The sequence below is a fragment of the Homo sapiens genome, chromosome 21 (genome assembly GCF_000001405.40).
Source record: "Homo sapiens chromosome 21, GRCh38.p14 Primary Assembly".
In the NCBI taxonomy this organism is placed as follows: domain Eukaryota; kingdom Metazoa; phylum Chordata; class Mammalia; order Primates; family Hominidae; genus Homo; species Homo sapiens.
The window spans coordinates 13,705,843-13,718,597 of NC_000021.9; the positions used below are offsets into that span (position 1 = coordinate 13,705,843).

Here is a 12,755-nt window from a genome sequence, read left to right on the forward strand (position 1 = left end):
AATGCACATGGGAGGACACACCGGGTTACTATTTGAGTAGCCCAGACAGGAGAGCAGCGGTCTGCTTCAGCCATGAGACCACCTCAGGCGAAAATAGACTTGTGGTTGTTTTACTTCTTTTCACCAAATGGGTCTTTTTGGGGTTTGTGGTGTGTCCCATGTAACGATGATCTCTTGGTTCCCCTTTCTCATTCACACCCGGGAGCTGAGGTGGGGGGTGGGGGGCAGGGAGTGGCCACCTGCGCCAGGTGTGAGAGAAGCCACACCTGAGACCAGCCCCTCTGTCCTCCTGCCTCTGCATCGAGCGTCCCTGCAGGAGGCAGAAGGGGTGAAAAGTAGCCTCGATATTAAAGTGCTTGTGTGTCCCTGAGGGGGTAAGCAAGTCACAGTCGGGACACTGGTTCCTGTCATCAGGTGTAGCACAAAGAAGGACCCCAGGACATGGGGTGCAGAAGGGAGCACAGAGAGGGTGGGTGCTACTGGGGTGCACAGGCAGCTTGAGGAGGATGCAGATGGCAAACTTCCCTTTGTCACGCCAGGTGCATGTTTAGGGCCGGAGGACCACCAGATCCCCAAAGCCTCCGGTGCTTCTGAGGCAGAGGAGAGGCAAGGCCAGTGGCTACCGGTGTCCAGGGACCTGGCAGCCACCACTGAGGCCTATCTGCTTGTCCCTCAGCCCACTGGCGGCCACACTCCAGGTCTCTGGGCTCTGCCTAGGACGTGTGTTTGGGCTTCTCTCCCGAGCAGAAATCATCTGCGTACCCTCTGCATCCCATGGATTTGCTTTGTTTCTGAGGGAATAATTAAGGAATGTTAGTATGACATCCGAAAATAGCTAATTATGGTGAAGAGCTAACAGGGCGATCTGGGAAGTTGTGGAGCTCTAGTTAGTGATGACAGAAGAGGAACATATTTGACTGTTTTGTGCTACACCCAGGTTCTCAGGAGGTGGCAAGGGAGGAGACTTGGCACTGTGCCATGCTCAGAACCCCTGGTCCCAGGGACTCTGTTTCCCTGTGGGAGTTTGGATGAGAGACAGTTGGCTGGGAAGCTCAGGGTGGAGTGAGGAAGAACAAGTTGAGGTTCTTGGGTTGGAAAGATCTAGTACCCCAGGAGGGGCTGGATGTGGCCTGCGCCCACCCCAAACTCACACACTCTGTCATGCTCACACAGACACACACACTCACACACACTCATAGGCCCAAGCTCACACACCACACTTACATGGCTTATTCACACACTTACACACATTAACACACATACGCACTCATATTTACACATCCACACGCAGTTATATTCCACATACACACTCATACTCCCAAGTTCAAACACCATTATTTCTTCACAAACATTCACACAATAACTCACATACACACTCTCACACATGTACACACTCACCCACACACTCTCCATTACACACATTTACCTGTCTGTTCTCACACACATGCACAAACACAAAGCCAAATTAGAGCCATTTTCCTGGTCCCACACAAAGAAAACTGATACCTCAGTTTCTTGGTCTTGACCAGAACTGGGTGCATGATTCCATCCAACCACAAGGTGGGGTGGGAATGAAATCCTATCACGTCCTCAGGCCGTGGAGAAAAAAAAAAAAAACTATGTCAGGCCTCTCTAATGCCTCCCACAAATGAGCAGGAGGGATTGAAACAGAAAAGGGGTTCCTCCTGACATGTGGCATTGATGGAGCCCGGTTCTGCCTCATGCCAAGCCCTGCCTTGCCCCTCGATGATGGAAAATGGTTGTGTGTCTTGTTTCCTGGCCCCCATCTCTGTCTCGGTACAGAGTAGAGATTTGAGTCTCAGTTTCAAAGACAGGAGTCCCACTAAGCTGACCCACCCACTGACAGATGAAATCTTGCCATCTGCTGACCAAGTTCCCCAAGGCCCCTTGAGACTCAATTTCTGAAGAGGGTCTGCTCAGAATTCCCCGTCCCCATGATCTGCCCGGCTGTCGGGACACTGGTGAGCCTGCTCAGTGGGGAGTCCCTTTTCAGCTCAGTCAGCAAGCGGCTCTTCTCTATAAAGAGGCAGGGGATGAACCTCCTCTCTAGTTTTAGCAGCAGAGGCCATGAGACCCATGGCAGAGGCCAGAGCTGTGCAGGCTGTAGGAGGTACCATGTCAGGGATTTCAAACGGAGGAAGGTACTTTCCAGAGAGTACTGCAGGGAACCAAGCCATATCCACCGTAGCTGCAATAAAGCCTCTGAGGCTCAGCTTAAACTCAATCTTAGAAATGAAGTCCCAGCACAAGCTTTGCAGGATAAGCAAAATCTAGAGAAGAGAAAATGCAGACCCAGTCAATGATAAATATAAGTCATCTGGACCAGCACAGAGCAGATACAGTGCCTTCTCCACATGCAGTGAATGAGGTTCTCACGTCTGTTAGTGTGTGGAATTGAACATCAGTATCAGAATCATTCTGTGTTACCTACAGCTGGTTTTATGTTGTTATGCCTGTCACCTGATGAATGTGTATCTTTAGCCAACCCTTTCACCCCAAAGCTCCTGCCCCAACCCCTCCTCCTGGAAGTGCCCATCGCTGGTCTCGGCAGGAGGCTGTTCTTCCCAGCCTGTGGGGTGGCCACCTTGCAGGCTGTAACCCTCTACAAGAAATAAAGTCTTCTCTCCTTTTCCAAATTTCGATATTCACTTAATCCTTAGCTTCTATTTTTCAAGATTTTAAACTGCTTTTAGGTCATGGCCTCTTCTCTGTAGGGTCTGGAGGCTGAGAGATGTTCAGCAGGAAAGAGCTGCTAACTAATTCCAGTAGCACTGCTCTTCTGCCTAACGGAGGTGTTTAAATGTTGATTTTGGCAAAATCTATGAGCAGGTTGCTCCCCATCTCCCGAGATCTCTCACAATACTTTGTAAAACCCAATTTAGCGCATCGTCTGTGAGAGCAGCTTTTACTGGTTCTGCAGCGATCTTCCTTACTCATAATCTATTGAAATATTGTAAAGCGATGCAGATTTGTGGCATGTGAGGAGAGCATGTAGACACACACTCCGCTGTGATTCAAAGTGCCCTAACACCTTCCTCTTCCCTACAGGCTGTGATAGGAGGGTGCTCTGGGTCACTGAAGAAGGGGAGTCATAAAGGAGCAGAGGCCCCACGTCGTGAGTGCCATCTCTCCTTGAGTGTGGCCTCTTGTTCTAGCCCACAGGCCCACCATGGTCTGACTAAATGCTGGCACTGCTCATACATCCACTTTTAAAAATTGAGTTGAACATGAGAACATGATCATTCATATTTTATCCATTTGCATGTATTCAATAACATCCTTTCCCTGTTCTCATCTCTGCTTTACTGCCTTTTTCTTTAAAGAATGAATGTTTCCATGTTTTATATCCACAGAATTTCTGGCTTTTCCCTTTGGAGTCCAAGGAGCAAGGGCAGAATGAGGAACAGGATGTTTCTTACAGACTCATGAGGCCGCAGCACAGAAACTGCAAGAAATGTCAGTCATAAAGTGTCCCAGTGCATTTTAAATTGATGATTATTAAAATCCTTCTTTATCTATAGGGGATCTAAAAAATTAAACAACTCATAATTTAAACACGGTTGCCAGGTAGCCTGAGTCAAAAATCAGGAGAGGCTCTGTGGTCTGAAGTCTCCTATTGCTCACCTTGATGAGGGTCTAGTTGCCTAATGGGTTGGTGTAATGATGTCATTCAACACAAGCAAAACACAACTCCCTTGGAGTTGTTCAAAAAATCAGGAAATAGAAAAAAAATAAGGGAGAATAAAATATTGACAGGAGAGAAAAATGAAGAGTTACTTGGAGATTTGAAGGAGGTGAAATGGGCAAAAAGTAAATTTAGCAACTAGAATTTAAAGTCAGTGGATAATTAAGTCGAATAATTTATTCTTATGTCCATGTACTTTGGTTTTAAAGTTTTGATTAATACTCATTCAACACTAATTTCTAACAAATTAGAATATTTCCACATTGTCTATTTTTACCAGTGAGCTTGTAATAAAGATCCGCTAGTAATTTTAGTACATCATAACCTTTCAAAAGAAGCCCATAGAATAAACTAATTTTTAAAGAGTCACATTTTATTCAATGTCTATTTATACATGTTACTAGCAATAAACTCTTTTATCTTTAATTTTGAGAAGCTTTACAAATACAGAAAAGTAGAATGACTAATAGAGCCGGTAGCCAGGACTCAGATTGGAAAAATAGGTCTAATCGGTTGTTACACTGTGTTTATGTCATACATTTCACTTATTTTTATCAAATAAAAATTAGAATTTATAAAATGTTGATTAAAAGGAAAACAGTAAAGTTTAGTCCCATGTTTCTTCCTCCAAATCTCTTTGTTCTACATTAACAGGTCAGGAGAAGTATGGATGGGGAGGCTGGAAAAGGGGCATCCTTCCCCATGCGGTCCCCAGAGCCACCTTCTCCAAGCAGGACTTGGGGAACAACCTCCTCCATCCAGGACCTAAGGGGTGTCCTTTTCTGTGCTTCCTTGGATGGCAGCCTTTCCTGTGCAGTCATTCAGAAAGTCAGGCTGACACATGTTGTCGTCTTGAACTCTGGGTGAATCCCTTCATGTTTATAGTGATTTACCATTAAATCACTGTGCCGTTTTTTCCTAAAATATATGGGGCGTGTTTTTTGTTCTGAGTTATCTTAGTCCTTTGGTCGCTAGCTCCAGTTTTTTGTAATTTCTTTTGCAACCTAATATGTGTCCCATTTGGTAAGTATTACATATACTAGAAAATGACGTATATTCAGCATTTGTTGTGATTTTAAAACCTTTTATAAACACGTAACATCTTTGTCTATTTCCCGTTTAAATTCAGAAGTATGGGTTCCAGCGTCCCTCTCTAGACCTGCTCTATCCTGTTAGTTTCTTTGTATGTCCTGGAGGCGAGGCCAGCATTGGACTTGACGTTGCTTCACCTACTCGGTTCTATTGTCCATCCATGTGCAGTGTCTATCCTGTTGTTTATTATTTCTTCCTTAAATTTTATTTGAACTAAATTAATTTTGTGATAGCAGCTTGCTTTCTGTGAATATTTACTTAAAATTTTTATAAAATTTTTATTTTTTTATTTCTTTAATTTGAAAGTGCTGCTTTGTTATTGATAATTTTGTATTTTAATATATGAGGTTAATCCCTCTATGTTTGGTAGGAAAAAGTGATATATTTGAACTTATTTCTATCATTTGATTTTGGATTTTGTATTTGCAAAGCTTTATCCTCAATTCTCTTTTCCTTTTTTCAGATTTCTTTTCTTTTCTCTTTTTTTGGGGGGACAGAGTTTTGCTCTTATTGCCCAGGCTGGAGTGCAATGGGGAGATCTCAGCTCACCACAACCTCCGCCTCTTGGGTTCAAGCAATTCTTCTGCCACAGCCTCCAAGTAACTGGGATTACAGGAATGGACCACCATACCCGGCTAATTTTGTATTTTTAGTACAGACAGAGTTTCTCCATGTTGGTCAGGATGGTCTCGAACTCCCGACCTCAGGTGATCCACCCACCTTGGCCTCCCAAAGTGCTGGGATTACAGGCATGAGCCACCACGCCCGGACTTCCAGATTTATTTTCCATCAACATTTCATTTTCCACTTCCTTCCTATGCTGGCTTGCAGGCTTTCCAGGCTATTTACCTTTATTTAGTGTCAAAAATTCTTTTGGGAACTTTTGAGTTGTCAACCAATAGTTGTAAGCATATTGGATATTGCTGTTTTTCTCCTGGTGCTCTGGTTATAATCTCTCCTATTAATACCTGTAGTCTTATTGTTGTAGTTATTTTTTCTATTGATTTCTGAGATATAATAATTAGAATTGTCAAATTGTGGATTTATGCATTTATCTTTTTAATTCAATAACTTTTGCTTCATGTATTTTGCTGTGTTTCTTAGGTGCATGCATGCTTATGCTTATTAGGTTTTCTAAGCAAATGGGCTTATTGGTATAAAACATCCTTCTTTATCCCTGGTGATGCTTGTCTTTCTTGCAGTGTGTCTTACCTGCCATTAATACACTGGCTGCAGTTTTTGATAAAAAAGATTGCATAGTGTATATTTGTCCATCTTTTCAGTTCGAATCTATTTATATCTTTATCTCATAAGTGTATTTCTTTTTAAAAGTGGATATTGAGGTTTCCTTTTTACCTACTTTGACAGTCTGTGTTCCGCCTTCCTGATCTTCTTCTGGATTATTGCAGTTTTGGTTTGTTTGTTTGTTTTATGGGGTTTTCTTTTTTTTTTTTAGTATGGATTTTGTACCCTGTTTTTTTTTTTTAACTATGACTTTGTTTCATTTATTTATTTTTGGTGAGTTGTTCAGAAATTAAAATATAAATACTTAATGTATATTAAATATCATAACACTGTATATAAAATATAAAAACCTTACCTTACCATCCTCTCATCTTTTGTGCCATGTTGTCATAGATTTTTCTTCTGTACGTGTTGTAATTCCTGGAGGATGTCATCCAAACAGTAATTTCCCCTCCACATATTTACTATTTTTGGCACATTTTCATCTTTTCTGTGAACTAGAATTTCCAATTATTATTTTTCTTCATCCTGATCAAGTTTCTTTTGCATTTATCGTGGTTTGGGTTCGATGGCAACACAGTCTCACAGACTTTCTTTAACTGAAAATGTACTTTTCTCAACTTCAGTTCTGAAGGCTGCTTCAGCAGGTTCAGAATTCTAGGGACACTTTTGACTTTGAACAGCATCTCTGGGTACCATCTAACATATTATTATATCCAGTTGTGTCAAATCTGTCATCGGCCATAGAACCCTTTGACAGGTGCTTCTTGTTGCTTCAGTTCTAAGTATTTCATAGTCTTCAGAGACATGGAGAAGTAGCAGTGCTAGTAACAGTACTAGTGAAACCAGGTTAAGCCCTAAAATAATTAAGAAGCCATTGCATGCACACACGTGAACGTTTGACTTCAGCTAAAATGCTTTCAAATGTACTATTTTATCTTTATACAAGGCCATAACACAAATTACAATTTTAAAAATACTTTCACTTTACATATGTGAAAACTGCAGCTCAAAGAATTTAAAAGACAAGATTGAAATCCCATGAGTAGGTAAAGATGGTCAAGTCTGGAGCCCGCATGTCTTGGTGCCCCCCACACCCTGTTACAGAGAGTGCGAGGCTTCACCAGAAAGCTCTTTCGGCTCAAGGATTAGCTCTGGGGAAGTGCAGCAGGCAGGCCTGCTTTGCAACCTTTTTTCCAGCAGAAATCCAATGTTTGTTCACGTTTCTAGTTCTTTTAGTTTTGTTTTGTTTCTTACCAGTATGGCTCTGGGAGTTATTTACAAAATTTAATTTTAAAAGAGACACTCCCCATCATTAGGGTTCCTTGGAAACTTATAAAAAAATAAATAAATACTGGTAGATGAGAAACTTCTGCAAAATTGTTAGTTATATGTGTAATACATCTAATTGTAACTAAAGAAATGTGTATTACGGTAATAATTTAATTTATTATTGTCATTTTCTTGCCAGATTTGAGGGCATTTTTTTAAGCTCTCCACATGTGGTTTACTGTGGACCAAACACTGGCAGCTTCAGGCTTACAATCTGCTGACAAATCCTTCTTAGTTCGTTCACTTTGAAGAATGTGAGCATGCACTGCTCATGTGCGTGGCAAGCATGCAACCTGATCAGGAGAAGGACAGTGGCCACTCACGTCATCAGGTGAACTTGTGACGAGGCCATCAAGAGGCTGCACATGTGCTCCAGAAAATGAAATTCCCACTATCAACCTATTTTCCATTTCCACCCAATGGCCCACCCCTGCTCCAAAGCCGTGTCTCCACCTCTTAGGAATGCTTGATTTTCAGTATTGCTGAACAGGGGTCAAAGAAAACAAACTGAACAAAGAAACAAATAAAGCCTTTAACCCGGGAGCAAAGACACAGCACCTCCCCACTCCGCAACAGCTCCAGAGCTGCACAGCTGCTGCCAGAGCCTGAGCACAGGCCTGAACTCTGGCCCATGGATCTCACCAATGCATTTCTTCCCTCTGTGCCAAAAAAAGTATCGATAAATGGGATTCATTTACTTGGGACGTAAAATAATGTATACCTATAGTTTTCTCCCAGAACTGTGTAAACCGGCATGCTGTCTGCCACAATACAGTCCTCACCCTGCATCAGGAGCTCAGATGGGGGAAGCCAGCAGGGCTGGATGCCTGAGAGTCACAGGTGCTTGGAGGGGAGAGAAAAGCACCACGGAGAGCCAGGCCCTGCCTACAAGTCACATTTCTAGGGGTCTAATGGTCTGGGCAGGCTGGGAGATGCTCTCTAAAGGAAAGGCAAGAAATATTGCCCCACGTCTCCCACCACCAAACAGAAAGTGCAGGTGGTCAGCCCCAGGGCTCACCTGCCCTTTGCCAGGGTCATGAGTCAGGCCCAGGCTGCGCCCTCCACACAATCCTCAAGGAGAGTTCCTGCCAGGCTGGGACAACTGCACTGGGACCTGATGCCCTGGGAAGGACAGGGTTGCATTTAACAGAAACAGCTAAACCTGAAGGGATGAGTTTGCCTTTCCCCGGGGCCATGGGATGGTTTATAGAAAGTTCTACCCATCAGGACAAGACCTCACATGACACCATCAGAGGAACTGATTTCACGCCACAGAGGGAGGAAGAGGGCACATGCCATAGGTCCACTGGTCACAGCACACACATGCTCCTGGGAGCTTCAGACCCAGCAGTGTGGCACAGGTGCCAGGTCAGGATGTGGGAGGACACAGTGTCTGCATGAATCTGTCACCTTTGTTAGCTGCCTTGTCCCACCAGGTAGAAGATGTGGCAATTGGAGCACAGCAGTAGGAAGCCCAGTGTCCCCCAACCTTCCACATCATACCCAGGACCTCTGAGGTGCATCTATATCCTGCACATCTAGGCTCTGAAAAGCAGGAGGTCCTGGTTTCCACAGCTGTGGGGCTTCTAGCCAGGGCAGGGCCAGGTTCTCTGAAAAAAACAAGCTCTGGGTGCTGCTTTGTCCTCAGGCTGCTCCTCCATGGGACCTGCGGGCAGAAAAATGGGTACCACCTGGACCATGGTGTCAGCAGGAGCAGGGCTGCGCTGCCTGGGGAAGAAAGGGCTCCACGCAAGTACCTCCTGGTACACAGCACTTGATGGCATGTGGACAAGTGCGGGAGCCCTAGACCAAGGACTCTGTGGTGGGCAAGGCTGAGGGCCCCTTAGGGGTGAGGGCCTGGGTTACACCACCAGGGGGTCACCAGGACCCTCAGCAGAAGGTGGAGGGGGTGGTGATCATTACCTGTGCAACCCTGAGATGGGTGGCAGCCACAGAACCTAGGGTTCATTGAACCCCCCTTTTGTAACTAGTGCCCAGGAAAAGGCCTAGAATTTAATAAAGACAAGGCCCCTGTCAGTGGAGTGCTGGATGGGGCGCACCCCCTGGGGCACACCTGAACCTCCCCCAGGGCCTTGGCTGTGAGCTTTGATTGTAGACACACCTATGCCACGGCCCCTTCAGACTGCTCCCTTCACCTCTGAAAAACCAAACAGGATGCTTCTGTTCCTGGAAACGTGAATGCCCTTCGTGTGTTTTTTACTTTGACTAGAAACTCATCTGCAGCTGAAATATATGCAGAGACCTCGTGTGCTCCCAAGATTTCCAGGCATCTCTGAGAGTTTGCTTTTCAGTTCCCAGAAGGTGTGAGAGCTCCAAAGCATGTGCTGCTGGTTTCTCAACTTAGTGTATTTTAGCTCCCTGTGGACAGCATGTTTCTAGCCCCCTTGCACACGCTTGGATCGGATTTTTGAAAAAGCCAAGGGTGGGAGGCAGAATGATGTGGAATGGGCAGAAACTATGACTAAAGGCTGGCCTCATCCCAGGAGGAGATAGAATGCATTAGCCCAGTGACAGTGCCAGGGAACCCATGCGGCAGCCTAGGGAAGGTCATGGAATGGAGCTGGGGTTTCGGCTGTCACCATCCCAGGGTTAGACTCAGCCAGGTGAACAGCTGATTCTCCTCCACAGAACCCTTGGGCTGGCACAAAACATGCAATTCACAGTGAGAGAAAGACCATTCCTGTCCACCCCTTGTAGCCTCCACACACCTGAGCCCATACCTGACATATCCCAGAACAAGACTCCACAGCCATGCATCTGTTCTCTCCAGGGCATTTCATGATGAGAGAGGGATTTACTTAATATGATGAAAATAGAAGAGGAAATGACCTTGACAAGTACATAGTTCCACACCCGCCATCCAGGGCCTAGGAATAGTGCTCAGCCAGGGCCCGGCCCTTCTAGGGCTCTGGGAAGCTGCAGTGAAGGTGGGGTTGGGACAAGCAAGAGTGGCCATTTGCAGGCAGTGTGGGCACCAGGCCATCTGCAGGGGAAAAGCCCAGTGGGAGGATGAGACGACAGCAGAAACCTCGCAGGGGCTATGCACCCCCTCCCCGTGGGAAGGGGATACCCTCCCAGGTGGAGCCACTGTTTACATTGAAATCACTCAAGTCCATCACCAGGAAACACAAAGAGGACTGTCTTGCCAGAGATTAGTGATCTGGGACTTAAACAAAATGCCAGTCAGCAAATGAGAGGATTCTTAGTTCCACAGGCCTCATGTCTATAGTTGCAGTAAGCAAGACTGAACTCAGCCATGCTCACCTGCAGACACTGAGATGCTTGCTAGGAGGCTGTGGGGTGGAATACAAGACACGAGGGCTGACAAGGATGGGAAGAGCATCCCTTTCCTGGCTAGGGGCCTTGGCCAATTCAAAAATAGATAACATGGGGTCTCAGAGCTCCTGAGGCAAGAGCTACGTAGGCATTCAGAGATACCTGGATGATGGCATTGTCTTCAGTAGAACCTTGAAAAAGCACCAGGGACTCCCAGGCAACTTAGCTTAAATCTGTCTTGAGTAGAGCTGGTCTTTGGGATCTCCATCAAGTGGGTGATGCCTTTACCACCATGATAGCACATTATAAAGTTGGCCTTGCTAGCAGCAGGGACAGGCCTGATGTCACTGATCCTGAGGCAAGCATCTTATAAACCCATATAATTTAATTTTGCAAAGGCTCAAGCTCATCACTGAGATCATCCTTTGTATGATGATCCATGAGGCCACCGTGAACAGCATGGATGGACCCAGGCCATGGAGGGGCCCTCTTCATCCTGGATGAGGAGCCCACAGTGGCCATTGCCCCTCAGTCAGAATAAAATCAAGACAAAAGCAATCAGAAGACCCATACACCATGAGGCTGAGCCATTTTTCAAAGATGTCAAAATAGGAAAATACTAAAATGGAAGAAAACCCAGAATCCCATCCCCTGACTTGCTCCAGAGGCCTCCCCAACTCCAGGCCACCAGGAGCAGGGGCCCTGCAGAGGAACTCTCCCTGGGTAGAAATTCGCTGGTTTTTGCCTTCCACCAGATGTTGGCAACTTCAATTTCATCTTTTTTGGCATTAGAGCTAATGTTAAAATGACTCAGGTCAAAAAAGAGTGATGTGCTGCAGCCCTGACAATGCTCCCAGTGAGAATTTGTGCAAAACTCTTCCCTGGATCTACAAAACCAGGTCCAGGCAGGGTGTTGGGGCTGTGACGACTGCATCTCTGCCTCCTCCTCTCTGCAGTGCGGCCTCTTCACAGGCAGAGCATTCATTCCTCTTTAGCTTCTCACCAGCCCAGGATGCAGGGAAGAAGTAGCTTATCAGCACAGTCTTGGAATATTTTTACCTTACCAGCTGGGCTCCTATGAACAATGTGTCCAGCTATAGGTAAACAATGTGTGCAAATAATGTGAGAGTGACAGCACCATGTCAGAACCATGCAAGAAGCTGGCCAGAGGCACAAGCAGCAGATGGGATGCTGATGGGGGTGACCAAAATACAGTATGGGGCAGCTGCGTGCCATGATCAATCTGCAGGGGTAGGGAAAAAAATAACTCTCGGCCTGGCTAACATTTGCATGTGAGAACATTGACCCAAGTCCCCAGGAGAACGTTGAAGAGAACCGCGGCTTATTGTCAAAGGGAAAAGTAACCGCAGAGTTTTCTTTCTGCTTCTAAGCAGATGGGAGGGGTGTAGCCTGCAGAACCAAGGGTGTGGGGGTCCTAGAATGTTGTTGGTGGTTGTTCAGCAAAGGGCTTCACTTCTCGGCCTGCAGAACTTTCCGCCCGTGAGTGTGGGTTACATCTATACATACACAGGAAATCATATACTCCCACTCAGCCACCCACATCTAAACATGGTAGTATTAGGAAAAATAGGAAAGCAACATCCTACTAGATTACATTGTTTACAGTGAAACCATTTAAACCCCTGACCCTCTGTGTCACCAATTAACACTGCGTGTAAGGAGAATGCCTGCCCCGTGGGGGTTTGTAAAGACAAAATGTAAAAATAAAATGTAGGCTGGGTGCGATGGCTCACGCCTGTAATCCCAGCACTTTGGGAGGCCGAGGAGCACGGATCACGAGATCAGGAGATCGAGACCATCTTGGCTAACATGGTGAAACCCTGTCTCTACTAAAAAAATAAATAAATAAATAAATAATAAATTATAAAATAAAATGTAGTGTGCTTGGTAAACTAAAGTTCTAAATAAATATTAGTTGTTACTATTACTATGTCAGAAGTACTAGTCACAAGACTGGAATACTTCACTTGAATAAGAACTCAGTGCAAAGAAGTTGGACAAATCGGTGAGTTTGAAACTGCAACAGGACTAAAAATATGCCAATTAATTTATTAATGTATTC

The 12,755-nt window shown here is 45.2% G+C and overlaps 1 long non-coding RNA gene across 1 annotated transcript; it reads left to right on the forward strand.

Moving 5' to 3' along the window:
* Positions 1 to 38: 38 nt before the first annotated feature.
* On the forward strand, positions 39 to 8,011 carry LOC107985482 (uncharacterized). The gene is made up of 3 exons (XR_001754957.1): positions 39 to 104; positions 3,375 to 3,477; positions 7,515 to 8,011. It is a non-coding gene; the product is annotated as an uncharacterized LOC107985482 (long non-coding RNA).
* The last annotated feature ends 4,744 nt before the right edge of the window (positions 8,012 to 12,755 follow it).